General features: G+C 52.0%; 1 protein-coding gene across 6 annotated transcripts, besides 11 other annotated features; it reads left to right on the top strand.

The window, feature by feature from the left end:
- Nucleotides 992-1,261: a silencer, noted in NCBI's record as "silent region_10731". NCBI's record gives its function as "represses an Ori minimal core promoter by ATAC-STARR-seq in GM12878 lymphoblastoid cells {active_cell/tissue: GM12878}" and the evidence as "EXISTENCE:reporter gene assay evidence [ECO:0000049][PMID:35858748]".
- On the top strand, nucleotides 1,243-15,683 carry KCNN4 (potassium calcium-activated channel subfamily N member 4). 6 transcript variants are annotated; one of them, XM_005258883.3, is made up of 9 exons: nucleotides 1,243-1,513; nucleotides 5,580-5,675; nucleotides 7,597-8,024; nucleotides 10,085-10,216; nucleotides 12,387-12,497; nucleotides 12,656-12,774; nucleotides 13,184-13,253; nucleotides 14,509-14,676; nucleotides 15,127-15,683. In XM_005258883.3, exons 2-8 carry the CDS (start codon nucleotides 5,606-5,608, stop codon nucleotides 14,671-14,673), a joined length of 1,095 nt encoding a protein of 364 aa, XP_005258940.1. In that variant the 5' UTR covers nucleotides 1,243-1,513; nucleotides 5,580-5,605; the 3' UTR covers nucleotides 14,674-14,676; nucleotides 15,127-15,683. The 6 variants fall into 6 exon arrangements, 5 of the variants coding, with proteins under 5 accessions (XP_005258940.1, NP_002241.1, XP_005258939.1 ...); NM_002250.3 differs by having other exon boundaries at nucleotides 10,081-10,216; XM_005258882.3 differs by lacking the exon at nucleotides 5,580-5,675 and having other exon boundaries at nucleotides 10,081-10,216.
- Nucleotides 1,868-1,997: an enhancer, noted in NCBI's record as "active region_14740". NCBI's record gives its function as "activates an Ori minimal core promoter by ATAC-STARR-seq in GM12878 lymphoblastoid cells {active_cell/tissue: GM12878}" and the evidence as "EXISTENCE:reporter gene assay evidence [ECO:0000049][PMID:35858748]".
- Nucleotides 2,356-2,855: an enhancer, noted in NCBI's record as "H3K4me1 hESC enhancer chr19:44283513-44284012 (GRCh37/hg19 assembly coordinates)". NCBI's record gives its function as "activates a minimal SCP1, AML or CMV promoter by ChIP-STARR-seq in primed H9 embryonic stem cells {active_cell/tissue: H9 hESC(primed)}" and the evidence as "EXISTENCE:reporter gene assay evidence [ECO:0000049][PMID:30033119]".
- Nucleotides 3,615-3,664: a silencer, noted in NCBI's record as "silent region_10730". NCBI's record gives its function as "represses an Ori minimal core promoter by ATAC-STARR-seq in GM12878 lymphoblastoid cells {active_cell/tissue: GM12878}" and the evidence as "EXISTENCE:reporter gene assay evidence [ECO:0000049][PMID:35858748]".
- Nucleotides 3,911-4,411: an enhancer, noted in NCBI's record as "H3K4me1 hESC enhancer chr19:44281957-44282457 (GRCh37/hg19 assembly coordinates)". NCBI's record gives its function as "activates a minimal SCP1, AML or CMV promoter by ChIP-STARR-seq in primed H9 embryonic stem cells {active_cell/tissue: H9 hESC(primed)}" and the evidence as "EXISTENCE:reporter gene assay evidence [ECO:0000049][PMID:30033119]".
- Nucleotides 7,570-7,609: a transcriptional cis regulatory region, noted in NCBI's record as "KCNN4 K1 GATA1 binding motif region targeted for CRISPR/Cas9 perturbation". NCBI's record gives its function as "positively regulates KCNN4 gene expression in K562 erythroleukemia cells {active_cell/tissue: K562}" and the evidence as "EXISTENCE:manual assertion [ECO:0000218][PMID:33828297]" and "EXISTENCE:mutant phenotype evidence [ECO:0000015][PMID:27044088]".
- Nucleotides 15,797-15,960: a silencer, noted in NCBI's record as "fragment chr19:44270408-44270571 (GRCh37/hg19 assembly coordinates)". NCBI's record gives its function as "represses an EF-1alpha promoter that drives an FKBP-Casp9 reporter gene in an ReSE screen in phorbol 12-myristate 13-acetate-treated (for megakaryocytic differentiation) K562 erythroleukemia cells {active_cell/tissue: K562(+PMA)}" and the evidence as "EXISTENCE:reporter gene assay evidence [ECO:0000049][PMID:32094911]".
- Nucleotides 16,347-16,436: an enhancer, noted in NCBI's record as "active region_14739". NCBI's record gives its function as "activates an Ori minimal core promoter by ATAC-STARR-seq in GM12878 lymphoblastoid cells {active_cell/tissue: GM12878}" and the evidence as "EXISTENCE:reporter gene assay evidence [ECO:0000049][PMID:35858748]".
- Nucleotides 16,867-17,096: an enhancer, noted in NCBI's record as "active region_14738". NCBI's record gives its function as "activates an Ori minimal core promoter by ATAC-STARR-seq in GM12878 lymphoblastoid cells {active_cell/tissue: GM12878}" and the evidence as "EXISTENCE:reporter gene assay evidence [ECO:0000049][PMID:35858748]".
- Nucleotides 17,117-17,176: an enhancer, noted in NCBI's record as "active region_14737". NCBI's record gives its function as "activates an Ori minimal core promoter by ATAC-STARR-seq in GM12878 lymphoblastoid cells {active_cell/tissue: GM12878}" and the evidence as "EXISTENCE:reporter gene assay evidence [ECO:0000049][PMID:35858748]".
- Nucleotides 17,524-17,749: a silencer, noted in NCBI's record as "fragment chr19:44268619-44268844 (GRCh37/hg19 assembly coordinates)". NCBI's record gives its function as "represses an EF-1alpha promoter that drives an FKBP-Casp9 reporter gene in an ReSE screen in phorbol 12-myristate 13-acetate-treated (for megakaryocytic differentiation) K562 erythroleukemia cells {active_cell/tissue: K562(+PMA)}" and the evidence as "EXISTENCE:reporter gene assay evidence [ECO:0000049][PMID:32094911]".

The following is a 27,033-nucleotide window of genomic DNA, read 5'->3' as shown; positions in this document are numbered from 1 at the left end:
ATGTTGCGTTTGTTTTTTTGTTTTTGCTTGTTTTAGAGATAGGATCTTGCTATGTTGCCCAGGCTGGTCTCAAACCCCTGGGCTCCAGCAATCCTCCCACCTCAACCTCCCAAACTGCTGGGATTACAGGCATGAGCCACTGCACCCAGCCGTATGTTGCATTTGGGCACTGGGGTCTATGAAGGTCCAACCCCATCCCCTTCCCCCAGGGCATCATCCTGGATGTTGTCCTGTGTGGCCAGAATATACCAGAATCATCTTGCTTCAGGCATGTGCTTCTTGGGTTTCTCCGTGTGTCGCTGTACCTTGTAGGTCTCTGCATGCATCCACTCAGCTTGTCCTCTGACCATACATTTGAATCGCACCACACATCAGAGCATGCTGAATCAGTGCGTGTTTTGAATCATCACTGCGAGCACTTGTGTTCGAGTCAACAGGCGCCACAATGTATGTGCAATTCTCTAGCTCTGGGTGATTGGGGGCTACTATAGGTATGTCCCTAAATGTTGTGTGTCTACACGTATTGGGTTTCGTTCCAAGGGTGTGTAGTGTTTAGGAAACTGGGACTGCACAGTGTTTGTGTCGGTGTGTGGTGTGTGGCATCAGGGCGTCACTACTTTAATATATATTGTGTGTTTGTGTAACACCTGGTGTATGTTGTGTTTGTGTGGCCACAGTTGTGCATCGTCCTATTTGTGGTGTTTGGGTGTGGCTCTTTGTGTCAGAGAAAGTTGTGACAACTTTGAGTGTAATATTTGTGCCTGTGTGTGGACGGTGTTTGGGTGGCTGTGTGTGCCACGGGATACTGCCTGCTTGCTAAGTGCTGGTGTGTGTCACACCATGTGTGTGGTGTCTGGGTGTGGCTGTGGGTTTCAGAGCTTGCTGGGAGTTGTGAGTCACTCTGTGTAGGTTGTGTTGTGTGCCCTGGTGTGTTAGTCTCCGTCTTGGGCTGTGGAGTGTCCTTCGGTGTCTGGGTGTGGTGAGTAGAGGTGTGTGTCACAAAGTACAGACCATTGTGTGTGACAAAGCCCATCGTGTGTCTGTGTGTGTCTTTATCCACGTGGATGGACGTCTCTTTCTTGCTCTGCCCCAAGACACACCCTAGCCCCTCCTTATTCTCAAAAGGGGGAGCTGGGGAGCCTCCCCCTACCCTGGGGCCTCCCCTGCCCCTCCCCGCCCTGCCTGGCCGTCACCACTCCCCAGAGGGCACAGGGCTCTGCTGTGCCTCAGAGCAAAAGTCCCAGAGCCAGCAGAGCAGGCTGACGACCTGCAAGCCACAGTGGCTGCCCTGTGCGTGCTGCGAGGTGGGGGACCCTGGGCAGGAAGCTGGCTGAGCCCCAAGACCCCGGGGGCCATGGGCGGGGATCTGGTGCTTGGCCTGGGGGCCTTGAGACGCCGAAAGCGCTTGCTGGAGCAGGAGAAGTCTCTGGCCGGCTGGGCACTGGTGCTGGCAGGAACTGGCATTGGACTCATGGTGCTGCATGCAGAGATGCTGTGGTTCGGGGGGTGCTCGGTGAGTGGGGCATGGTGGCTGGGAGCTGGGACTCCTAGGTCTGAGGGAGGAGGGGCTGGGGGTCAGGACTCTTGGGTCTGAGGGAGGGGGGGCTGGGGGTCAGGACTCCTGGGTCTGAGGGAGGAGGGGCTGAGGGTCAGGACTCCTGGGTCTGAGGGAGGAGGGACTGGGGACTTGGACTCCTGGGTCTGAGGGAGGAGGGACTGAGGGCCTGGACTCCTGGGTCTGAGGGAGGAGGGGCTGGGGGTCAGGACTCCTGGGTCTGAGGGAGGAGGGGCTGGGGTCTGGACTCCTGGGTCTGAGGGAGGAGGGGCTGGGGGTCAGGACTCCTGGATCTGAGGGAGGAGAGGTTGGGGGCCTAGACTCTTGGGTCTGAGGGAGGAGGGGCTTTGGCTGGGACTCCTGGGTGCTCCCAGGAGACAGTTGCTGGGGTCCTTCTCTGCAAAAGGAAGGGAATATTTGTTTCAGTGTTTCAGTCTTTGAAGATGTTGCCATTAGACGGCCAGAGGTCCAGGACCCCTGGAGGCCAGAGGGTGGCTGATCAGACACTCAAGCCCCCCAAGAGCCAATAAGGGGAGAGGTAGCCCCAGGTTTGGTGAAGGGAGAGTGGAGGAAAGACAAAGTTCTTCCAGTAGGCGGCAGCTCTTTGGTCCTTGTCTAACCTCTAATGTTTACCCAGTGCCTTAGATGCAAAGGACAGAAAAAACTGCCTTGGGGGTGGGGATGGGAAATGGGAAACAAACCTCTCCCCCGACCTGCCTCCCCCCACCAACCCCAACCCAGTCTCCACTGTTAACAAGCTCAATTTCTCCCCAAATCTGCATGCTGATTAGTCAGGGAAATAGTGGAGAGGTAGGCTTACAGTGGCCTGGACTCCTAGGTACCAGGAGAGGAGGGGGCTGGGTCCTGGATTCCTGAGTCTTAAGGAGAAGGGGGTTTTGATTGCTTTTGGGGAAGAGGGGCTGACTCCGAAGATGAGTGGTGAGTAGGGAAGAAAGGGGAAAGTGGGGTCAGGGCAGGTCTCAGCAGGCTCCCGTCACATTCCAGCCCTGGTCAGGCCAGTGATGGGGCAGATCAAGGACAAGGGTTGGAATAAGTGGCTTGAGGGGAGAACAGACTTGCTCAACAGGAAAGGAGGGGCTGGAGACCTCTCTGGCAGAAGGGTTGTGGAACTGGGCTGGTAGGGCCAGATGCGGACACTGATATGAAGATTGGGTAGATTCCTGAGGGTCTGATGTTCCGACTTGGATCTGGAGGGGGTGGTGGGCAGCTCTGAAGTGACCAGGAGCCACATGGAGGGTCAGGCATGCAGCTTCCTCTGGCAGGCGGCGGGCACTGAGGGGGTGGGGCCGCCGAAGTCCATGCCAACAGGAAGCATGGCCGGGGCCTGCCCGCCGCTCCCACGCCGAAGCACCGCACCCAGAAGCCGAGGTGGGAACACAGTGACCCTGGCAGATGGGAAGAGACGGGGTCCATCCTACCCCACTTCACCCCTCTGCTTTCTCACCCCTCATTTCTTCCTTCCCTCCACCATGGCCAGGCCACTGCCTCTATCAGTGGGACCTTGGGGAAGCTGTTACAACCCTCTGAACCTCAGTTTCCCCATCTGTAAATTGGGGTGAGGGTTAAAATACATGACCCTAAGGGTCACCCTCCACCCTTTTTATTTTATGTAGAGATGGGACCTTGCTTTGTTGCCTAGGCTGGTCTTGAACTCCTGGACTCAGGCAATCCTCCTGCCTCAAAGTGCTGGGATTACAGGCCTGAGCCACAGCTCCTCAGTCCCCTTTTGAGGACTCTCTTAATAACATCCACCGCCCCTCACCACCTCCATCTCAATCTAATGAGCTCATTTCTGCAAAGGACCCAGACACCTGCTCCCCAGGGGGAGGGGCTGGCAGAGAGGCAGGTGCAAAACCCTAGGGAGTCCAAGGGAACTGGATAGAGATATCCAAAAGCACCAGGTGGGGTGGAGGAGGAGGGATGGGGAGAGGTACAGAGAGAGACAGAGACACAGAGATACATGGAGAGAAAAAGAGAGATGGAGACAAAAATGCAGAAAGATAGAGAAGTACAGCTAAAGAGAAAGACAAATAGGGCTATCAAGCTACTGAGAAATCCACCAGTGAGAGATACACACACAGCGTTAGAAAAGACAATAGAGGGCCGGGCGCGGTGGCTCACGCCTGTAATCCCAGCACTTTGGGAGGCCGAGGTGGGCGGATCACAAGGTCAGGACATCGAGACCATCCTGGCTAACACAGTGAAACCCCATCTCTACTAAAAACACAAAAAATTAGCCAGGCATGGCGGCGTGTGCCTGTAGTCCCAGCTACTCAGGAGGCTGAGGCAGGAGAATGGTGTGAACCCAGGAGGCGGAGCTTGCAATGAGCCAAGATCGTGCCACTGCACTCCAGCCTGGGTGACAGAGCAAGACTCCGTCTCAAAAAAAAAAAGAGACAATAGAAACAAAGACCCTCAAAACACATAGAAAGACAGCAACAACCATCCCTAGAGACAGGGAAATTCAGAGAACAGAGTACAGGCCCAAGTGCAGACAGGTCCGGGATTTGGGGGAAGAGGAAATGGAAAAGTAGAGAGGACCACCAGAGAAGCAAATTGCAGTGTGAGGAGGGAGCTTGTTGTCTAGTGGTGTGGGCAGTTAAGACAGACTGAAGAAAGAGGCAGGGAACCAGGGAGCCATAGAAGGTGGGGGAGGGCTGGTGACAACAGCACTATTGTTCTGATAGGGGGTTGGGGAGCAGGCCCCTGGGGCAGGAAACTGGCCCTCTTCCCCTGCTCAGAGGCGGGATGCTGGCCCAGCCAGGGGAGCTGGCAGCCCTCTTAGGAGAAACAGGTGCAATGCTTTGTAAGGACGCCCAGGTGGTCCCCTCCCCCTGCAAATACCCGCCAGGCAGGGACCAACCCCTCTTAGGAAATCCAACAGTCCCAGTCCCCTCTAAATCCCTCTCTCCAGAATTCTAGATTCCTCCAAGGTTGTGCCACACAAAGAGAGGAAAAAAAAAAAAAGGAACAATTTCTCCGTGGTTTCTGGAGGCCCTGTGCTTCCGGCCAGATCTGCCCTGGGCTTAGAGCCAGAAGAGAGGGGTGGCAGTGGGGAGCTGCAGGGGGGCAGAACCGAGGGGGCTGTCTCAGAGCTGAGGCTGGGTCTCAGGGACTCAGCCCTCCGGATGAGAGCAGAGAAGGGTGTGACTCAGTCTTTGAGGATTGAATGGTAGTTTCTACATTCTTCCAGATCTGGGGTTGGGGTTGATTGAAGTTGGTTTCTAGGACAACACCAGGTGGGTAGGAAGGGAAGGGGAGGGGGCACTCTCTAGAGGCTAGATGTCTTTTTCTAGACACCACACACACACACCCACACACACACACACACACACACACACCTGAAGAACTATTTTTGATGTGAAATGGGACAGGAATAAGAAGGAATGTGAGTTTCAAGGTCCCCCTTCATGGGTATGGGTCTTGGGAGAAGAGCTGAGGAAGAGGGTAGACACCAGCATCTGGACAGGGTTGTCCTGTTGGGGAGAAAGAGAGCATTCCTGGGGACCAGATGATGGTGTTTTTTTGTTTGTTTGTTTGCTTGCTTGCTTGTTTCGAGACGGAGACTCGCTCTGTTGCCCAGGCTGGAGTGCAGTGGCGCGATCTCTCAGCTCACTGCAACTTCCACCTCCTGGGTTCAAGATTCTGGTTCCTCAGCCTCCCAAGTAGCTGGGATTACACACCCAGCTAATTTTTTGTTTTTTTAGTAGAGACTGGGTTTCACCATGTTGGCCAGGGGGTCTCAAACTCCCGACCTTCGGTGATCCACCTGCCTCAGCCTCCCAGAGTGTTGGGATTACAGGTGTGAGCCACCGCACTGGGCCCAGATGATGGTTTTGAGACTTCTCCAGAACCGACACATCAAGAGGGACTGATTTGCAGGGGAAGGAGGCTAGGAAAATTGGGAATCAAAAAAAAAAAATGGTGGTTTTGAAGGAAAGGTGGAGGGCCAGGCGGAGGGAGACCTGGGATCTCACACCGCTTTTTCCGTCCCCCCTGACAGTGGGCGCTCTACCTGTTCCTGGTTAAATGCACGATCAGCATTTCCACCTTCTTACTCCTCTGCCTCATCGTGGCCTTTCATGCCAAAGAGGTCCAGGTAGGGCAGGCCCCGCCCCTAAGCCTTGCTCCCTCCAACCCCCTCAGCGCCCTGTCAGCTCACACTTTCCACCCTCCTCCTCCTCCTGATCTGAGTAATGAAGTTCTTCTGCCCTAGGTGCTGCGTCCACACCCTCACCTACCCAGATGGGATGAACCATGAGCAGACAGGCAGAGCCTCCCCCACCAGCTCCGCCTTCCCCTGTAGTCCCCAGCCCCCCCTTGCACACTCACGGATGCTGAGAGTGCCCTTGCAGCCCTGCTTCCGCCCCCAGGCCTCTGTCCACTCTGCTCCCAGGCACTCAGCTTCCCAGATCTCTGTGCTCCGACATGGCATCCCCAATCCAGTCCTCAAGCAACCTAAGGTCCTAGGGCTGCCCACTCCTTTTTTTTTTTTTTTTTTTTTTTTTTTTTGAGACAAGGTCTTGCTCTGTTGCCCAGGCTAGAGTGGAGTGGCACGATCTCTGCTCACTGCAACCTCCACCTCCTGGGTTCAAACAATTCTCATGCCTCAGCCTCCCAAGTAGCTGTGACTACAGGCAGATGCCACCACGCCCAGCTAATTTTTTTGTATTTTAGTAGAAACGGGGTTTCACTATGTTGTCCAGGCTGGTCTCCAACTACTGAGCTCAAGCAGTCTGCCCACCTTGTCCTCCCAAAGTGCTAGGATTACGGGCTTGAGCCACTGCACCTGGTCCGGTCCCAGGGGTGCCCACTCCTAATCACCCTATCTCTGTGCCAATAACCTCCCTCTTGCCCCAGACCCAGGAGCTCTCCCCATCCATACCCCACCTTGGGTCTCACCCAGACACATCCCATCCCCTATTGTCCCATTGCCCCAGATCCTGTTGCTCCATTCCCTTTCCCCTCTTCCCCCTCTCCTATCATAACTTTGCATGTAAAATGGGGATTATTGGCCATGTGTGGCAATTCTATGAGCAGTGCCTGGCACATAAGAGGTGCTCAGTAAACAGTGCACATTATCATCTTATCATAGAGTAGCTAAGTAGCCTGTAGCCCAGTGCGCCATTGCCCATGGAAGGGACCTGGGCCTCAGCTTCCACATCTATAAAATGGGGGCAATAATAATATCAATCTCACTGGGTTGTGGGCATTTACTAAGTCACAATATGTAAACGGGATAGAGCAGTACCTGGCGTATCCACGGTGCCCAGTACATGCTGATTTTGTTATTGTTATTGTTTTGTTTATTTTGAGATGGAGTCTCGCTCTGTCACCCAGGCTAGAGTGCAGTGGCATGACCTCAGCTCACTGCAACCTCTGCCTCCTGGGTTCAAGTGATTCTCCTACCTCAGACTCCCCAGAAGCTGGGACTATAGGTGTGCGCCACCATGCCCGGCTTATTTTTGTATTTTTCAGTAGAGATGGAGTTTCACCATGTTGGCCAGGCTTGTCTCAAACTCTTGACCTCAAGTGATCCACCCACCGCAGCCTCCCAAAGTGCTGGGATTACAGGCGTAAGCCATCGCGCCCGGCCCATGGCTTTGTTATTGCTGATATTATTATTACAGTTATTACGCGTGTCAACCGAAAGGGGAGTAGGAGCGAGCTCCAGGCATGTGGAATGCAAGCTCTAGGGAGGCAGGGGGGTCTGTTGGGTTCACTGTGTATCCTTAGCACATAGAACAATGTCAGGCACACAGTCGGCGCTCAGTCAGTGTTCAAAGGCTGGAAGTGGGCTGAAACTAGTGGGGTGGGTGGTGGGGAAGGAGGAAAAAGTGGAAAGATGTCTTCCTCAAGTCCTGTCCCGCTCCCTCCCTATCCCTCTCCCGCCCTGCACTCCCTCCCTCCTGGCCAGGCGGCACACCCCACTTATCTCAGGGCGCAGGCAGGCGCGGGCCGCCGCCTGACCTGCGCCTGACCTGCTCCTGACCCCTCCCTTCTTGGCCCCCTACCGGCAGCTGTTCATGACCGACAACGGGCTGCGGGACTGGCGCGTGGCGCTGACCGGGCGGCAGGCGGCGCAGATCGTGCTGGAGCTGGTGGTGTGTGGGCTGCACCCGGCGCCCGTGCGGGGCCCGCCGTGCGTGCAGGATTTAGGGGCGCCGCTGACCTCCCCGCAGCCCTGGCCGGGATTCCTGGGCCAAGGGGAAGCGCTGCTGTCCCTGGCCATGCTGCTGCGTCTCTACCTGGTGCCCCGCGCCGTGCTCCTGCGCAGCGGCGTCCTGCTCAACGCTTCCTACCGCAGCATCGGCGCTCTCAATCAAGTCCGCTTCCGCCACTGGTTCGTGGCCAAGCTTTACATGAACACGCACCCTGGCCGCCTGCTGCTCGGCCTCACGCTTGGCCTCTGGCTGACCACCGCCTGGGTGCTGTCCGTGGCCGAGAGGTGAGGGTGATGGAGGCATAAATGCGCAGGGGGGAACCCCGGACAGCCACGGCGGCCGTCCTGTGCCGCGGTGCAGGTTGAGGCCCCCTAGGACCAAGCAGTGGAGAAAGTTCACACTTTGACCCCTTCTCCTCTTGCTGGCTGAAATTTGCCCACACTCCCATCAACTGGGGTGAGAGGAACCAACAGACAAGCCCCCAGCCAATCCTCCACCTGCAGCCTTCAGTCTCCCCAAACGCACACACAGACCCTAGAAAGCCCCTCCCTTCCGGCTGCCTGACCTCTGCCTCAGGTTTACAGGCCATCTGTTCGGTCTCCGAACCTATCTCTGGGACCTGCCTAAAGGGTTGCCTCTGCCTTGGAGGAAGGAGACATATTTTCCCAATTAGCACGGAATGCACTGTAGGTAGGTGCTTTTTGTGATCCTAGGAAGGGGATGATTTGGAACTGCTCTGGAAAATAATTCCAAGCAGGGAATTGGAACTAGATCCTGGTTGCCAGCTAGATACTGTGTAACCCGATGCCGCGCCTCAATTTCTATCCCTTTCAGAGAAAAACGAGGTTGGGAGTGATCTCAGCCAGTGGTCCTCAAAGTGTGATTTCAAGACCAGCAGCATCACCTGGGAACTTGCAAATGAAAACTCTCAGGTCCCTTCCAGACCTACTGAATCCTGGAGGGTAGGGCCAGCAATCCACTTTAGCAAGCCTTCCAGGTGATTCTATGGCCCAACCAAGGTTGAGAACCTCTGGTCTAGTGTATGTGGCAAAGATCCTTCAGGGCAGGAGGAGAATGAGAAGATCTGGCTTTAGATCTCTCCTCTCTGAGCCTCAGTTTCCTCATCTGAAAAATGCATGTCACGTTCCACCATCTGTAGTCTCCCTGGCAGTTCTTGTTTTTTGATCTGGAGTCTCAATTATCCAGGCTAGCGTGCAGTGGCACAATCTCTGCTCCCTGCAACCTCTGCCTCCCGGCTTCAAGCAATTCTCATGCCTCAGCCTCCCTAGTGGCTGGGATTACGGATGTGCACCACCATGCCTGACTAGTTTTTGTATTTTTAGTAGAGACCACGTTACCGTGTTGCCCAGGCTGGTTTTGAACTCTTGATTTCAAGTGATCCTCCTGCCTAAGCCTCCCAAAGTGCTGGGATTACCATGCCCGCCCTCTGTCATGAGTTTAAACTCCTTCACCTTCCAGGATCTTAGTTTTCACAATTGGGAAATTGGTCAGAATCAGGATTAATGAATGATCCCCCCACCATGTTTCTCAATTGAATGATGGGAGAATGGGGAGGAAGTCAAAGTTCCACATTCCAAGGCAGAAGTCCTGAAACTAGAATGTACTTCGGAATGAGGGGGTGGGGTTTGTGAACAGTACAGATTCCATCTTCGCTCCTAGAAACTCCAACCCGGTGGGTCTGGGGTGTCAGGGGCCCTCATGAATGAAGCTTTCCCTGCTGGTCTTGCGGCAAGGGGCCTGTGGACAAAGTTAGACAAATCTCAATGTTTCAACCCCTTCCATGGCTGGACTTAAATGTCTCCTCTGTGAAGTGAGAGGAAAGGAAGGCCGAGTCCCACCAAGCCTTTTTAGAGTCCTTTTTGGTCCTGATAGGGCCACTTCTGGACCACACAGCATCTTTGTGGAAATTAGAAAAATATACCCCTTCCTCTGGGTGGATGTAGCCACCAGTCAGGGTCTGACTGGGTTTTGGCCCCCTATCGACTCTCCACCCTCAACCACACGCTCTGAATGCTACAGCAGCCCGGGTAGCCTAGCTGAGACCATACCGGCATTGGGATTGGCCAGACCCAGTCTCAAATCCCAGAGTGGCTAAGCAACTTGCCCAGGTCACACAGCAGAGAGGAGGCCATGCAGGCTTTCCAAAGCTCAGAACTTAATGGCTTTTTGTCCAGGTGATTCTTAGGACTATGGGTGTATACTGGGAGGGGAAGGGAGGGAACCAGAGGGAAGGGGATGGGAGGGTATAGAGGGAAGGGGAGTGAATATCATGGAAACCTCTATGGTGGGGTTTTAGAACTAACCTACCCTTCCCCATAGGCAGGCTGTTAATGCCACTGGGCACCTTTCAGACACACTTTGGCTGATCCCCATCACATTCCTGACCATCGGCTATGGTGACGTGGTGCCGGGCACCATGTGGGGCAAGATCGTCTGCCTGTGCACTGGAGTCATGGTGAGTACAGCTGCCTTGGGGACATGATCCCTATCCCAAACTGGTCATCCTCTGGCCCCAGGAAGCCATGATTAAATGGGTTCAACACAGGCTCTCAGGGACAGCTCCTGAGAAACTTGAGTGTCTGGGGCCCCCAGAGCCCCATTCTCTCTTCAAGAACAAGATACTCACCTGTAATCCCAATATTTTGGGAGGCCAAGGTGGGAGGATCACTTGAGCCCAAGAGTTTGAGGGTACAGTGAGCTATGATCATACTGCTGCACTCCAGCCTGGGTGGCAGAGTGAGACCCTGTCTCTTAAAAAATAAAATAAAAAATCAGACCTAGGAATCCAGCCCCTAAGTCCTTGCTCTCTCTAGAACCTAGGGCCCCAGCCCTTATCCTCCTCAGGGACCCAGGCTCCTGACTTCGCAGCCCCATTTTCTTCCAGAACTGGGAAATCGTCTCCCAGCCTCCATCAAGGGTGTAGAGTCCAGTTATCAAGTGCATACCTGTGGGGCCAGGCTACCTGGGTCCGAATCCTGCGGCTGCCACTTCCTGGCTGGGGAGCTCAGGCGAGCCACGTGATCTCTCGGGGCCTCACTTTCCTCATCTATAAAATGGGGATGCTGATGCTCCTCATGGGCTTGCTGAGATGATTAAATGGGTCCAACTACGTAAAGTGCTTCCAACAGTGCCCAGCCCACAGGAGGTGCTCAGTAAACAGGTCTAGGGGTGGCCAGGCATCCAGCCACCCCACACCAGCTCCTGTTGCCCTCAAGGATGAGGCAGAGGCTCTGCAGCCTGAGTCAGCCTCTTCCTGAACCCTGACATCCACCTCCTTCCCTCCATAGACCCAGTCACTCAGGTCCTCCCACCCAGCCCTGGCCCCCTCTAGAGACTAGCACCTAATGCCTTGGCCTTCACCTCCCTACAAGATCGGGTTCCCCTCACCCTCGGGGACCTAAGCCACCAGCACCTAGCCCAGATGTGGGCCTAGGAAGGACATATTCATCCCCCAATCCCTAGGTGCACAGGTGAAGGATGTGGTGACCTCCACTCCCCCAGTGGTGAGTCTTTGGAGCAAGGGAAGAGGGGCAGAGACTCAGTTAGGGACCTGCAGCACCGCTCAGGACCTCCTCCCTCATTTGACAAAAGGAGAAACAGAAACCTAGAGAGATAGGGTGATGTGCACTTGAGCTCACAGCCTGCTCCTGGAAGAAAGGCTCCATGGCATGGTTGGGCCATAAAAGCTTACTTTTCCGGAGCACATACTCTGTGCCAGTCTCTGCCCTACACACTTGCCAGGGGTAATTCATGAAATCCACCTAGTAACCCTGTGAGGCCATTTCACAGATGAGACACTGAAATACTGAGAGATTAAATAACTTGCTCAGAGCTGGGCTTGGAACCCAGGCAGTCCCCTGGAGCCAGCGTTTGTGACTGGAAGTTGTTCTGAGTGATCAAGAGCTGAAACTATAGGGTTGGGGATGCTTCCTAGGAAGATTCCTTCTAACTTGGGGACAGGTGAGCAGATGCCACAAGCAGCTAGGAATTGCCAAGGCCTTGAAGGGCCAGGAGCATTGGGAGAAGGAAGGGAGGAGAATGAGTGTTCGGAGGAAGGTGCTCAGGGAGGGCAGGCAGCATGGAGCCAGGGCTGAGTTGTCCAGGTGGGAGGCATAGACCTTGGAAGGCCTTGGGAGCCAGGCTGAGACGTTCAGGCCAGTGGAAGCCTGGGAGATTAGAGGGGACCAAGGGGGTTAGGGGAGGATGAGTGGGAGGCTGGAGACGGTCCAGGAGAGAGAAGACAGGGCTGGAGCTAGGAAGAAGTTGTGGGAGTGGGAGAAGGATGGTCGCCCTCCACAGTGCAATGGCTGACCACATGAGCACTGAGGACCCAGAGGCCTGCCCCTGGCTCAGAACCCAGCCTTCCTCTCACTCCTCCAATCCTATCCTTCATTCAAGAGGCCACCCTGAGGGTGTGAATGCTATGCATCAAATTTGGGCTCGGACGTATGCGATTTATGATTCTAGCTCCACCGCTCTGAGCTGGGACCTTGGCTCTCCTCTCTGAGCCTCTTTGCTTGTCTGCTAACTGGGGATGGTCGTGCCTACCGTCTGTGGCTGTTGGGCGGGTTCAAGGAGGGAGTCGGTGGCACAGCCTCATGCCACGGTGCCTGCTGTGCCCACAGGGTGTCTGCTGCACAGCCCTGCTGGTGGCCGTGGTGGCCCGGAAGCTGGAGTTTAACAAGGCAGAGAAGCACGTGCACAACTTCATGATGGATATCCAGTATACCAAAGAGGTGAGATGGGCATATGGCACCCATGGGACACCCCTCTTCCAAGAAGCAGGAGTCCAGGCGCCCCTGCTTCCCCTAGGACCCAAGAGTCCCAGCCCTAGCCCTGCCTTCCCAGAACCGTAAGGGTCTATCTCCACGGACACTGTGCCACCCACCCCCAGATGAAGGAGTCCGCTGCCCGAGTGCTACAAGAAGCCTGGATGTTCTACAAACATACTCGCAGGAAGGAGTCTCATGCTGCCCGCAGGCATCAGCGCAAGCTGCTGGCCGCCATCAACGCGTGAGGGCCGCTTTGTATGCACACGTGTCCATGTGCACCCATGTCCAAGTCACCTCTCTGCACGGCTGTGTGTGTGCATGTCCATGCCTGTCCAGGTCAGGACACCCAGGTGTGGTCTCACTCAACATCCAGGTCTCACCTGGATCTGACCGTGCATGACTCTATGTGTCTGTGCTGGTTTGTCTCCGCATATCTCGGTGTGTCTGCGGACCTGGGTACCTGGGTTTCTACTGGGGATGGGGGCTCGTGGGGAGGCAGGGTGCATCCCCTCCCACTCTTTCAGCTCTTCGACAACTTTGTTTCTTTGTTTTGTTTCTTCATGTGCCTCTCCTCCCTTCATTCCTCCCCTGAGCTACAGCTACATTCAGGGACCAGGCTTGTAAAACTGACTCCCCACTTCTTCCCACAGGTTCCGCCAGGTGCGGCTGAAACACCGGAAGCTCCGGGAACAAGTGAACTCCATGGTGGACATCTCCAAGGTACTAGGATCCCGTGGGAGGAGGTCTTGAAGAAGGGGGAGGTTGGGGCCACAGGGAGGGAAATCTGGCCCTAGAACAGGGAACCTTGGCAGGGGCCTGGCACACACAGCCTGTCAGTAAAGGTCTGTGGTTGAATGAAGGAAGGAAGGAATGAATGATGCAACACAGAGCTTCTTACATTCATGAAAGGCACAGATCCCTTACAAACTGAAAAAAAAAAAATTGCACAAAGAACCCCAGTGTTTGGTTTCAAATTATCTTTATTGTTAAGTTACTTACATGTGGACGGATATAAAATTCCTTCCAACTACAGCTCATACAATAAAACCAAAGCAAATTTACAAACCAAGCCCATAGACGGCAAAACCAATACAATTAAAATGAACAACACTGACAAGGACACAGGTGACATTGTTTCCGTAAAACTCAATCTCTGCTGCTCTTGTGGAGGGGTACTCAGGGCAACAGGGACGTCCATGCAAGTTTGCCTGGCCAAGGCGTGACTCAGCTACCCGCCCCCTTCTTCTGCTGAGACCATTTGATTTCGCCAGTGCTTAGGGACAATGATGTCACAACACCCCCTTGGCCTGGCTCACAGCATCTTCTGCTTATCTGGTGGCCTTTGCTTTTTCTCGTTAGCCCACGACAGTTCAAACAGTGGCCCCTGGCAGCAATGCCATGGTAAGCACGGTCACAGATGCAGGCCCCAAAACCGCATGGCAGGTCTCAGTGACGAGGCAGTGGCCCAGATCTGCAGGAATTGGCAGGTGGTAATTTCTGAAGGTTATCAAGCCAAAAACACAGAATTCAAGAATTTCCATAGAAAATCCACAAACCCTCAGGGATCAACTAGTGAATCCTAGCCAGAGAATGCAGTAAAAGACTATGTGGATTTGGAAGTCAGGCATCATCCATGCTAGAAATATCTAATGAGCACCTGCTATGTTCTAGGTCTTATTTCAGGAGCTGCTTTGGGCATGTCATTTAACTGTTCCATGCCTGTTTCCTCAGCTGTAAGACAGGAACAGGATTCCCACTCCCTGTGGCTTTTGGGAGGATTTTAAACCATATAGGGAAACACCTGGGCAGGTAGCTGGGAAGTGGTAGGTGGTCAATACATGGTAACAGTTATTGTCGAGGGTAATCCTCAGAGGACCATAAGGATGTGGTCAATATTGGTTCCATTGCCTTACGCTATGGAGTAGGTGGGGGTCGACCCCAGCCCCGACACCTCTGATCCTCTCCTCCCACCCAGATGCACATGATCCTGTATGACCTGCAGCAGAATCTGAGCAGCTCACACCGGGCCCTGGAGAAACAGATTGACACGCTGGCGGGGAAGCTGGATGCCCTGACTGAGCTGCTTAGCACTGCCCTGGGGCCGAGGCAGCTTCCAGAACCCAGCCAGCAGTCCAAGTAGCTGGTGAGGGGGCTGGGACTTGGGCAGGAAGGCATCCTGGAGGAAGGGTTCCTGTGGCCAGCACCCTATGTGGCTAAGGGGGCGGGGGATGGCTGGGAGACAAGGCCGCCTTTTCTCATCAGCTCTGGCACTGTCTGGAGGAAAGGACTCAGTTCGGGGCTGGACTGGCAGTGAAGGAAGATGGTGTACCCTCTCCCCTTCACTGACCCTTGATGGCCTTCTCCCTCTTTGCTTGGTCTCTCTCTCTCTCTCTGCCTGTCCTGGGCACATTGTCTGGCTGTCCATCCAATGTCTCTGTCTAAATGCCCTCCTGCCCCCTGGCCTCGGGGCCCGGAAACACCTGCCCCCTGTCTCCCACTTCTGCCCACCGGTTTCTGTCTGCACCTCGGTGTGTCCCACTCTCACTCTCCCTCTTCCTGGCCTGCCTCTCCATCAGTCTCTCTGTCTCTCCAGGACCCACGAGGAGGAACCAGGCTACTTTCCCCAGTACTGAGGTGGTGGACATCGTCTCTGCCACTCCTGACCCAGCCCTGAACAAAGCACCTCAAGTGCAAGGACCAAAGGGGGCCCTGGCTTGGAGTGGGTTGGCTTGCTGATGGCTGCTGGAGGGGACGCTGGCTAAAGTGGGTAGGCCTTGGCCCACCTGAGGCCCCAGGTGGGAACATGGTCACCCCCACTCTGCATACCCTCATCAAAAACACTCTCACTATGCTGCTATGGACGACCTCCAGCTCTCAGTTACAAGTGCAGGCGACTGGAGGCAGGACTCCTGGGTCCCTGGGAAAGAGGGTACTAGGGGCCCGGATCCAGGATTCTGGGAGGCTTCAGTTACCGCTGGCCGAGCTGAAGAACTGGGTATGAGGCTGGGGCGGGGCTGGAGGTGGCGCCCCCTGGTGGGACAACAAAGAGGACACCATTTTTCCAGAGCTGCAGAGAGCACCTGGTGGGGAGGAAGAAGTGTAACTCACCAGCCTCTGCTCTTATCTTTGTAATAAATGTTAAAGCCAGAAGTTGCCATTTCTCTCTAAACATATCTACACTCCTAACTGGCAGACCGTCCAGTGGAAGACTGTTGCCTTGTCTGAACCTGTCTCAGAGGCCTTCTCCTGTAAGTGCCCTCCCAACTCTGTAGGCTGGGCAGTCCTCAGCAACAGTCCCCTGCCCAGATCTGAGGCAAAGAGCAACAGCTTTGAACTCAGACAGATCAGGGTCCAAATCCTGGTTCTACCATCCACTGGTGGTGTGATCTTGGGTAAGTGGCTTCACCTCTGAACAGTTTACCTCACCTGTGAAATGGGACTGCCTCCCCATGGAACTGCTGTGAAGATTAAAACATGGAGTAGCCCAGAGGCATTTAGTAGGAACCAAATATGTGAGAGAGAATCTTTTTTTTTTTTTTTTGAGATGGAGTCTTGCTCTGTCACCCAGGCTGGAGTACAGTGGCGCGATTTCGGCTCACTGCAACCTCCGCCTCCAGAGTTCAAGCGATTCTCCTGCCTTAGTCCCCAAGTAGCTGGGATTACAGGCACCTGCCACCACGCCTGGCTAATTTTTGTATTTTTAGTAGAGATGGGGTTTCACTATGTTGCAGATGCTGGTCTTGAACTCCTGGGCTCAAGCAATCTGCCCGCCTCAGCCTCCCAAAGTGCTGGGATTACAAGCGTGAGCCACTGTCCCTGGCCAAGAATCATTTTTATTATTGTTTTTGATTTTCACACACAATGCGTGGCTGCCCTTTTTCTGATTTTTTGTTGCTTTTCTCCCTCTATTCATGCCTTACCAGAATCTAGATGACAACTCACTCATCAAGAGACTAACAGAGGCCCCAAACCTCCCCAAACCACCCACATACCCGTTTCACATCCGCTCAAGAGAGGATGTGAAAGGGAAGGGGGCAAAGGAGGGGGGCTGGCACTTCCAGAGGCCCTACTGTGTGCCCAGCTCTGTTTATAAGTCACCATAACCACTCTCCTGACCCTCGTTACCCCACTGCACAGATGTAGAAACCGAGGTTTCAAGAGGAGCCAGGCCTCCCCTCAGGCCCCCAGCCGGAAGCTAGGAATACGGGCTGGAGAGCCCAGATTCACACCCATCCCGCCCCACTGCAAGGTGAGTCAGAGGCAGAGTGGCCTTGGGCCACAAACCGAGGACTGACTTCCCGCCGCAACTTCATTCCAGCTTGAGAGGCTGATTCATTCTTGCTTCCCTCCTCTTGAGGGGAAGATCAGGCTGCGAGTCATCCTTTTCTGTTGAGCTATCTTTGGATTTCCCTTAAAGTCCACAGCCAGCCTCGCCCCTTCATCCCTGAGAGCTAAATTGGAGCCTCCGCCACCCACTGCCACGAACTGCCCTTCCTCTGGAGGCCAGCCCACCTGGGGAGTAAAGGCGGGGACTCAAGAAAGGAACTGGATGAGACCTCCAGATATTGCTGACACCCTTCCCCTGCAAGAAGCTCTCCTGGCAGTGTTGCCAAAGCCCCTGCCAAACTCATTCTTCTGGGACCTCTCTTTCCTTGCCTCCACTCCCTTTTAGCTGGCAAACACTCCTTCCTACGCCTCCTGTAGGCCTCGGCTAATATGTCCCCTCCTCCAGGAGGCCCTGTCTGATACTCCTATAGCCTCATAAACCTATCCCTATCACGATAATAATATTGGGTCTGGCCAGGCATGGTGGCTCACGCCTGTAATTCCAGCACTTTGGGAGGCCGAGGCAGGCAGATCACCTGAGGCCAGGAGTTCGAGACCAGCCTGGCCAAAATGGTGAAACCCTGTCTATACTGAAAATACAAAAATTAGCCAGGCGTGGTGGTGTGTGCCTGTAATCCCAGCTACTCGGGAGTCTGAGGCAGGAGATCACTTGAACCCAGGAGGCGGAGTTTGCCGTGAGCCGAGATCGTGCCACTGCACTCCAGCCTGGGTGACAGAGCAAGACTCCATCTCAAACAACAACAACAACGACAACGACAACAAATTAGCCAGGTGTGGGGGCACACACCTGTGGTCCCAGCTACTTGGGAGGGTAAGGTGGGAGGAACACTTGAAGAGGCTGGGAAGTCGAGGCTGCAGTGAGCTGTGGTCGTGCCACTGCACTCCAGCCTGGGTGACAAAGTGAGACCCTGTCTCAAGTAGTAGTAGTAGTAGTAATAATAATAATAATAATAATAATAATAATAATAATAATAATAATAATAATGGGTCAAGCACCACGCTAAGCCCTTTTAATAAGTGACCTCACAAAAGGAGGCAAGGTAGGCAATGTTGGTCCCATTTTACAGATGAGGTAACTGCCCGAAGCCATAGCAAAGCAGTTTGGAGCCAGGATGTGACCCAGGCAGCCTGACCCCAGAGCCCCAGCACTTAGCCACCTGGCGCATTCAGACACTCAGGAGACCATCACATTGTATTTTCATTTTTGTTCATGATTGCGTCTTCAACACCAAGGGCCTGACATAGACAGGGCCTCAGTGAATGTCATTAAACGAACCCTCTGAATGCCTGGGATGGCCTGAAGCCACCCCATGTTGGTTTCAGCTGAGCCATCCCATGTTGATTTCAGCTGAGGCAAGGTCAGAACCAGTGAAAAGGGGCTTTTGACTAAGAACCTAGGAGAACATACAAGAGATCCTGTGTTCTGAATTATCTTGGATCTGCCCTGGCCCGCCTGCCCTCATTCTCCACTGTGGGGCTCAAGCCTGGATGCCCCCACTTCTGGCAGGTTTTGCACCCCCCTCACCAAATCAACACTTCCTGAAGGCCCTGAGCCAGGAGCTGGGCTGCAGACATGAATCAGAGGGCTCTGTCCTCCAGGAGCTGAGTCTCATGGTGATTTTGGCTCCTTCCTTCTCCTATTTCTGTTCTGCCTGCACTCTCATGAGGACTGGGTGGGGGAAAGGCGGTCCAGAGAGGGCAGGGGCTTCCCAGGGTCATACAGCCAGTCACGGGCCTTTCCCCTTCATAAATCCCCCAACTGCCCTTGAGGACCTTTCTAACACCCACACACTTCCCATTCCTCCCACTGCCCTCCTGTCAAAGTCTAGCTCTGAGTCCAGCTCTTTTTTTTTTAGAGACAGAGTCTTGCTCTGTCACCCAGGCTGGAGTACAGTGGTACAATCGTAGCTCACTGCAGCCTCGAATTCCTGCACTCAAGTGATCCTCCTGCCTCAGCCTCCCAAGCAGCTGGGACTACAGCTGTGTGCCACCATGCCTGCCCCCTTTTTTTCTTTAACTGACATATATTTTAACATACAATAAAGTACACAAATTTTAAATGTAATCTCAATATATTTCTTCAAATACATTCACCTGAGTAGCCATCACTCAGATCAAGCTAGAAGTGTCTAGCCCCCTAAAGCTCTCATTTCCCTCCCAGCCAACAGCCCCCTTCATCCCAGGAACCACCATCCTGACCTGTCTTGATTCCTTTTGTTCAACTTTGAACTTTGGAAGGAACCCTGCTGCACGCCCTGGTGTGTATCTGTGTCTTGGGCTCTGCAGGGTGGTGGTGAGATTCAGCCATGCTGCTCATCCTTTTCATTACACAGTAGTATTCCATTGTGTCAGTATGCCCACAAGCCTCACCCGGGGGACTCTGCAAGCTCAGTCTCTCCCCGTCTTCTGGCCTCCCCTTCTCCTCCCTGTCCTGGCTGCTCAGGCCACTAGGCTCCTCTTCCTTCCCAAACTGCCTGCTGCTCTCCCCTCCTTCTTGCCCCATCCACTCAGAATAAAAATAAACATCACTAACATTTATTCAGTTCTTTGTTGTAGAGACGGGGGTCTCACTATGTTGCCCAGGCTGGTCTCAAACTCCTGGGCTCAAGAGATCCTCCCACCTTGGCCTCCCAAAGTGCTGGGATTACAGGCAGGAGCCACCATGCCCAGCCCAGCTATTTATTATGGTCCATAAAGGAAGCTGTATCATCATCATCAACACCAGACTGGCAGTCCAAAGGCATGCTTTAAGCTTTTATGTTGTGTGGAATAGCTGCTAACATATACAAACCAGGAGAGTGCTTTTTATAATTTGGAGGGGGTGTCAAATGATAAAACTTTCCTTTCTTTTTCCAGGATGAGCTGGCCCTTCTTCAAGTCAAGTCTAGCCCCCTCACCCTGTCCACACCTCCTCAAAAAACAGCTCCAAAGTCTCCTGGTCTCTTTTCCCTCTATCATTCCCATCTGCACACAAACATGCTATAATTTCTCCCATCTTATAAACATCCCACTGGAACTTTCAGAAGCATTTTAGATTCTCCATTTTCCTTAAAGTTCACTATTCACCAAACTGCAAAATATCTGTCGCTCTGTCACCTAGGCTGGAGTGCAGTGGCGTGATCTCGGCTCACTGCAACCTCTGCCTCTCAGCTTCAAGCAATTCTCGTGCCTCGGCCTCCCGAGTGTAGCTGGGATTACAGGTATGCACCTCCACCACGCCCAGCTAATTTTTTGTATTTTTAGTAGAGATGGGGTTTCATTATGTTGGCCAGGCTGGTCTCGAACTCCTAGCCTCACGTGTTCTGCCTGCCTCTGCCTCCGCCTCCCAAAGTGCTGGGATTACAGATGTGAGCCACCAAGCCCGGCCATAAAGTTGGTTCTAAACTCCTGCTACATAGAATGACATAAAAGACTTTGCCAGACATAAAGAGCTAAAGATGCCAGACACACGGAAGACATGCTGTAAGATTTCATTCGCATGAAGTTCAAAAACAGACACAACGAATCTCTGTGCCTGTTTTTGAAAGGCATTAGATGGGTGGTTGCTTCTGGAGCAGGGGAATTGACAGGGAAAGAGCACAAGGAAGACGTCTGGGTGCTGGAAATGTTCTCTGATTAGCGGTTACATGGATGCATAAATTTGTGAAAATTCATTACCTGGTACACTTAAGATCTGTGCCCTTTATATACTTTACCACACTTAAGTTATATGTCACCCAAAAAGAAAATAAATAAAAATAAAGAAAAATAAGTACTTATACATTTTTCCTGATAGATACTGAGAAGGTTCCATAACACAGTTAGATGGGGGATCAAAAGTCATGTCTTTTCCATGGTGGACCCCACATCTGCCTCCAGCTGCTGCCCCGTGTCTCTGCTCCTTAGTCCATTATCTTCTCTTTGGAACCCTTTGATCCCATGGCGCCAGGTCATCCCCTCTCCTGACACTCCTGGCTCCATCTCAGCCCCTCTCCAGGATCCTGGCTTCTACATGCGGGATGCTCAGGCCTAGTCCCTGCTCTCTTCAACCTCTCAGCCTAGATGATCTCAGCAAATCATAGCTTTAAATATCATCTATAAATAGGCAGCTCCAAAATTTAGCATACTTGTATAGTTATTAACAAAATGACAGGTTATCTGTGATTTTCTTAAAACAAACAAAACTCCAGGGGGTGGCGGGAAGTATGCTTATATGTGGGAGGGAAAAATAGAAGACATAAGACAAGAAAAATGCAGATGTCTGTCAATATTGGGCGATGGGTACGTGGGAGTCTCTTCATACCATAACATCTTTGTGTGTATTTTTAAAACTCTGTAGTGACTGTAATCCCAGCCTTTGGGAGGCTGATGGGGTGGATTGCTTGAACCCAGGGGTTCGAGACCAGCCTAGGCAGCATAGTGAACCCTCATCTCTAAAAAATTAGCCGGGTGTGCTAGAGCATATGTGGTCCCAGCTACTTGGGAGGCTGAGGCAGGAGGATTGCTTGAGCTCGGGAGGTGGAGGTTGCAGGGAGCCAAGATCGTGCCATTGCATTCCAGCCTGGGTGACAGTGCAAGACTTTGTCTCAAAATAAATTAATTAATTAAACTAAATTCTGTGACGCAAAGTCAGAAAGTCTTTATCTACAAACCCCGGCTTTTTCCCCTAACTCCAACCACTTATTTGATGACCAACGTGCATCTCAAAGTTAAGAATTTCAAAGCTTGTTGATTTCCCATCAAAAGTACTTTTCCTCATCCCGGTAAAAAGCCTCAGTCTTAGGCCGGGCGTGGTGGCTCACGCCTGTAATCTCAGCACTTTGGGAGGCTGAGGCGGGTGGATCACGAGGTCAGGAGATCGAGACCATCCTGGCTAACATGGTGAAACCCCGACTCTACTAAAAATACAAAAAAATTAGCCGGGCGTGGTGGTGGGCACCTGTAGTCCCAGCTACTCGGGAGGCTGAGGCAGGAGAATGGCATGAACCCAGGAAGCGGAGCTTGCAGTGAGCCGAGATCACGCCACTGTACTCCAGCCTGGGCGACAGAGCAAGACTCCATCTCAAAAAAAAAAAAAAAAAAAAAAAAAAAAAAGTCTCAGTCTTCAGGCAGTTGGCCAGGACCAAAACCTCTCGAACTTTTTTTTTTTAATTATTATTATACTTTAAGTTTTAGGGTACATGTGCACAATGTGCAGGTTTGTTACATATGTATACATGTGCCATGCTGGTGTGCTGCACCCATTAACTCGTCATTTAGCATTAGGTATATCTCCTAATGCTATCCCTCCCCCCTCCCCGCTAGAACTTTTTTTAATGCTGCAAATAACATGATGTTTTAATATATGTACACATTGTGGAATGGCTAAATCAAGCTAATTAACATATGCATTATTTCACATACTTATTTTTTTGTGGTGTGAGAAAACTTAAAATCTATTATTTTAGTAAGTTTCAAGCATATAACACATTGTTATGAATGAGAGTCACCCTGTTGTACAACAGATCTCTAGGATGACTTTCAAGTCACCCCTGATTCATGCTTCCTCTCACACCCCATGTTTAATTTCTTGGCGCTACCTTCAAAAAAGATCCCAGTTCCTGACCCTTCTCAACTCATCTATTAGCACCACCCTCTTCCAGAACCACTATCCTTTCTTGCCCAGGCAAGGACACCAGCTTTCTCATCTCCTGCTTCCGCCCCTGCAGGCCATTCTCCTCACAGCAACCAGCACTGTTTTCACTGAACATTTTTGCGCATAGCTAATAATTACGTGGTTTAAAAAAACAACAACGCTTTTTAAGTTCCCATAGCCCTGACCCACATCTGTCTATAACCCTCATCCCTATAGGCAATCACTGTTAATTTTTGTTGTTCACTGGAGAAGTCTTTGTAAACATTAATTGGAACAAGCCGGTGCTTGTTTGTAGCCCTGCAATGGCTTTGTTACATTTGGAAGTAAATTCCAAATGCTTACCATGGCCTGTAAGACTTTATGTAAACTGGCCCTGTCTACAGCTCCGTCTCTAAATAATCCTGCCCTTCTTTCCCTCCCTTGCTCTGTTTCAGCCACTCTGGCCACCTTGACCATCCTTGGACAGCCAGGCCCACTCCCACTTTGGGGTCTTTTACTGGCCGTTCTTCAGCATCTTTAGATGGCTCATTTCCTGACCTTCCTTAACTGCATTCAGGCCTCTGATCAAATGTCATCCCCTCAAAGCGGCCTTCCCTGGCCACCTGTCACTCTCTGTGACCTCTATCACTGTCAATTCCTGTAACCTGACTTTTTTTTTTTTTTTTGAGACAGAGTCTCGCTCTGTTGCCCAGGCTGGAGTGCAGTGGTGCGATCTTGGCTCACTGCAAGCTCCGCCTCCCAGGTTCATGTCATTCTCCTGCCTCAGCCTCCGGAGTAGCTGGGACTACAGGCGCCCGCCACCACGCTTGGCTAATTTTTTGTATTTTTAGTAGAGACGGGGTTTCACCATGTTAGCCAGGATGGTCTCGATCTCCTGACCTTATGATCTGCCCGCCTCGGCCTCCCAAAGTGCTGGGATTACAGGCGTGAGCCACTGCGCCCGGCACCTGACTTTATTTTTAATTGAAAAATAAAAATTGTATATATTTATGGTGTACAACATGTTTTGTATATTTATACATTGTACAATGGCTAAATCAAGCTAATTAACATATGCATTATTTCACATATTTATCATTTTTGTGGTGAGGACACTGAAAATTTATCCTCTTAGCAATTTTCAAGTATACATTGTTACTAACTATAGTTACCATGTTGTGGACTGGATCTCTTGAATTTATTCCTCCTGTCTAAATGAAATTTTGTATCCTTTGCAATGTCTTCCCAATCCTCACCCCCGATTTTCTTTTCTTCCAAGCATCCTTTATCTGATGTCATCTGCCCCACTAGAATATCTGCTCCCAAAGGGCAGGTGCTTTTCCTATTCATTACAGGATCTCCAGCCTACAGCTGTGCCTGGCAGATGACTAGAGTTCCATAATTCATTCAACATATAAATGAAAGAAATGAACAAAAAGTGAAAAAGAGATGAACAGGGCCAGGCGCAGTGGCTCACACCTGTAGTCCCAGCACTTTGGGAAGCTGAGGTGGAAGGATTGATTGAGGCCAGCCTCGGCAACATGGTGAAACTCTGTCTCTACAAGAAATACAAAAATTAGCCGGGTGTGGTGGCACATGCCTGTAGTCTCAGCTACTCGGGAGGCTGAGACAGGAGAATTGCTTGAACCTGGGAAGCTGAGGCTGCAGTGAGCTATGATCATGCCACTGTACTCCAGCCTGGGTGACAGAGGGAGACCCTGTCTCAAAAACAAAAAATAAAGACATGAACAGATCATTTGGCAATGGCTCTCAAAATTCCCAATGTGCATACCCTTTGACCCAGCAATTCTACTTGCACTTCAAATGAGATAGTCTACTGACAATACTAACATATACATGCAGCCACGTGTACCAGGATATTAACTGTAGCATAATCTCAGCACTTTGGGAGGCTGAGGCAGGAGGACTGCTTGAGCCAGGAGTTTGAGACAGCCTGGGCAACATAGTGAAACCCCGTCTCTACAAAAAATAGAAAATTAGCTGGGTGTGGTAGCACATGCCTGTGGTCCCAGCTACTCCTCAGGCTGAGGTGGGAGGATTGCTTAAGCCCAGGAGGTTGAGGCTGCAGTGAGCCACAACTGTATTACATGACTCCAGCCTGGGCGAGACAGCAAGAACATGTCTGAAAAAGAAAAAATTAGAAAACAGAAACATACACACAAACCCCTGCAGTAAATGTTTGTAAGAGCAGAAGTTCAGCAACAGTCTAAATGCTCATCAACAGAGAAAGTGTTAAAGTATGATATATCTCCAGAACAGCATACCATGCCACTAATACAAAAGGCAGCTCACTGGGTGCCTGACTGTACTGCTGACTCATCACCAGGCTGGCTCCCCGGTGCCAGGGAAAAAGTGTAGGCTTGCTCTGGAGTGAGACAGGCTTGGGTTTGAATCCAGGCCCGGGTTTGAATCCAGGCCCTGCTGCTTCCTGCCTATGGGGACTTCGGTAAGGCCCTTCTCTCTTCCAGGCTCATTTGTCTACATCTGTTTTTTTTTTTTTTTTTTTTTTTTTTTGAGACAGAGCCTTACTCTGTCACCCAGGCTGGAGTGCAGTGGTGCGATATCAGCTCACTGCAACCTCCACCTCCTGGGTTCAAGTGATTCTCGTGCCTCGGCCTCCCGAGCAGCTGGCATTACAGGCGCATGCCACCACACCCGGCTAATTTTTGTACTTTTAGTAGAGATGGGGTTTCGCTATGTTGGCCAGGCTGGTCTTGAACTCCTGACCTCAGGTGATCTGCCTGCCTCGGCCTCCCAAAGTGCTGAGATTACAAGCGTGAGTCACTGCGCGGACCAACATCTGTTAAACAAATTAGGGGAGAAGATTATAGTGATGTATATAAAGCAGAGAGCACACAGCCTGGTACACAGTGGGTCCAAGGTCAATGCCAGGCCTCCTCTTTCCCTCTTTTAAGAAAATTCTACCTCTGAGGGTTGCCCTGACGTGAAACTGGCAATCGTGAGTGATCTGGGGTTGAGAAATTCAGATATGGCCTGAGCTGAAGAAGTAAAATTGGACACTGATAGACATAATACAGAGATGGCCTGTCATGTGTATCTTTATCAAACACCCAGAATCTTTCCCCAGAATCCATCAACAGTGGACTCAAGTCATTCTGGGTGACTGGTGTTTCTACCTGTGGCAGCCTGGAGAGGTGGCTCCACCTGGTACTGGTACTGGGACAATGACAGTAGGGATGAGGCCTGGAGGGGAGAGGGCTGCTCAGAATCTACAACTATCAGCATGGTAGACCACAAAATAATACACAGAGACAACACACAGTACCATTAGGCAACAGGCACTGTTCTATGCACTCTCACCCATTTAATGCTGGCGGCAATGTTGTAAGTAAGGTTATACCACACCCAATTCACAAACAGGGACGTAGAAGTAGAGAGTATTAAGTCACTTGGTCAAGCTCAGCCGCTATTTATATGAACTCAACACATGCTCTTAACTCCAATGCTTTATTATAACAGCAGCTCCAGAAGGAAACCGGGAACCAGTGCTTTAGGAAAGGAAAATGGGAACCAGAGGTGGAAACTTACTTTTATTGTATACAGCCAGAGAGGTTTGAATTGTGTATGTACATGTAATACCTGTTCAAATATAATTTTAAAAAACTTTTTTTTAGACCAGCCACGGTGGCTCACGCCTGTCATCCTAGCACTTTAGGAGGCCGAGGCGGGCGGATCACTTGAGGTCAGGAGTTCGAGACCAGCCTGGCCAACATGGCAAAACCCAGTCTCTACTAAAAATACAAAAAATTAGCCAGGCGTGGTGGACGCCTGTAATCCCAGCTATTTGGGAGGCTGAGGCAGGAGAATCGCTTGAATTTCAGGAGGTGGAGACGGCAGTGATCCGAGATCTCGCCACTGCACGCCAGCCTGGGTGACAGGGCGAGACTCCGTCTCTAAATAAATAAATAAAATAAAAATAAATAAAATTTCAAATAAAAAGCTAGAACCTTCCCATCCACCCACTCTGCCCACTGGGGAACTGCCGACCCTTCCGAATGCGCATGCGCTCTCCAGGCCGCGCCCGTCGCCCAATGTTCCTCTTTGGCGCGCGCAAGACTCCGCCCACGTGTGTTTAAATTTTCGACCCTGGAGCGGATTCCCTTCTCCAACGCGGCCTTCGAGGGTTTTAAACATAGTTCTGTCTCAGACTATTCTGCATCTCCCAGGCCTTAAGGATAAAACTGACACTGGAGACCCTTCAGGGTCTGACCTGCCCATTCTGCTGCCTCACCTCCCACCCAGGTGGACCCTGAATCCAAGCCAGTCTAGACCTCTTCCCCCGGGGTCTTCGCCGCCTTTGCTTAGCTGTTCCCTGGAGTACCCTCGCCTGCCTGTCCTTCAAGGTCCAACCGGACCCGCGCCCTTTCCTAAGTGATTTGAGGCCCTGGCAGTCTCTCCACAGGCCGGGGTGTCTTCCAGGGCGCACGCCAAGTCTGATTCATTCATGTGTTCTTGGCACTCAGCCCAGAACAGTGAAATTCCTCCCTGTCGTCCCACCCCACTGCATCCCGCCAACAT

The sequence above is a fragment of the Homo sapiens genome, chromosome 19 (assembly GCF_000001405.40).
Source record: "Homo sapiens chromosome 19, GRCh38.p14 Primary Assembly".
Taxonomy (NCBI): domain Eukaryota; kingdom Metazoa; phylum Chordata; class Mammalia; order Primates; family Hominidae; genus Homo; species Homo sapiens.
This window is presented reverse-complemented; position numbering and strand designations above follow the sequence as displayed.

Bases quoted from the DNA above. Each gene is read 5' to 3' on its own strand.
- KCNN4 (NM_002250.3), top strand. From the start codon at position 1,355: ATGGGCGGGGATCTGGTGCTTGGCCTGGGGGCCTTGAGACGCCGAAAG. The intron at 12,498-12,655 runs GTGAGATGGGCA...ACCCACCCCCAG, and splicing joins ATATCCAGTATACCAAAGAG to ATGAAGGAGTCCGCTGCCCG. The intron at 12,775-13,183 runs GTGAGGGCCGCT...TTCTTCCCACAG, and splicing joins CTGCTGGCCGCCATCAACGC to GTTCCGCCAGGTGCGGCTGA.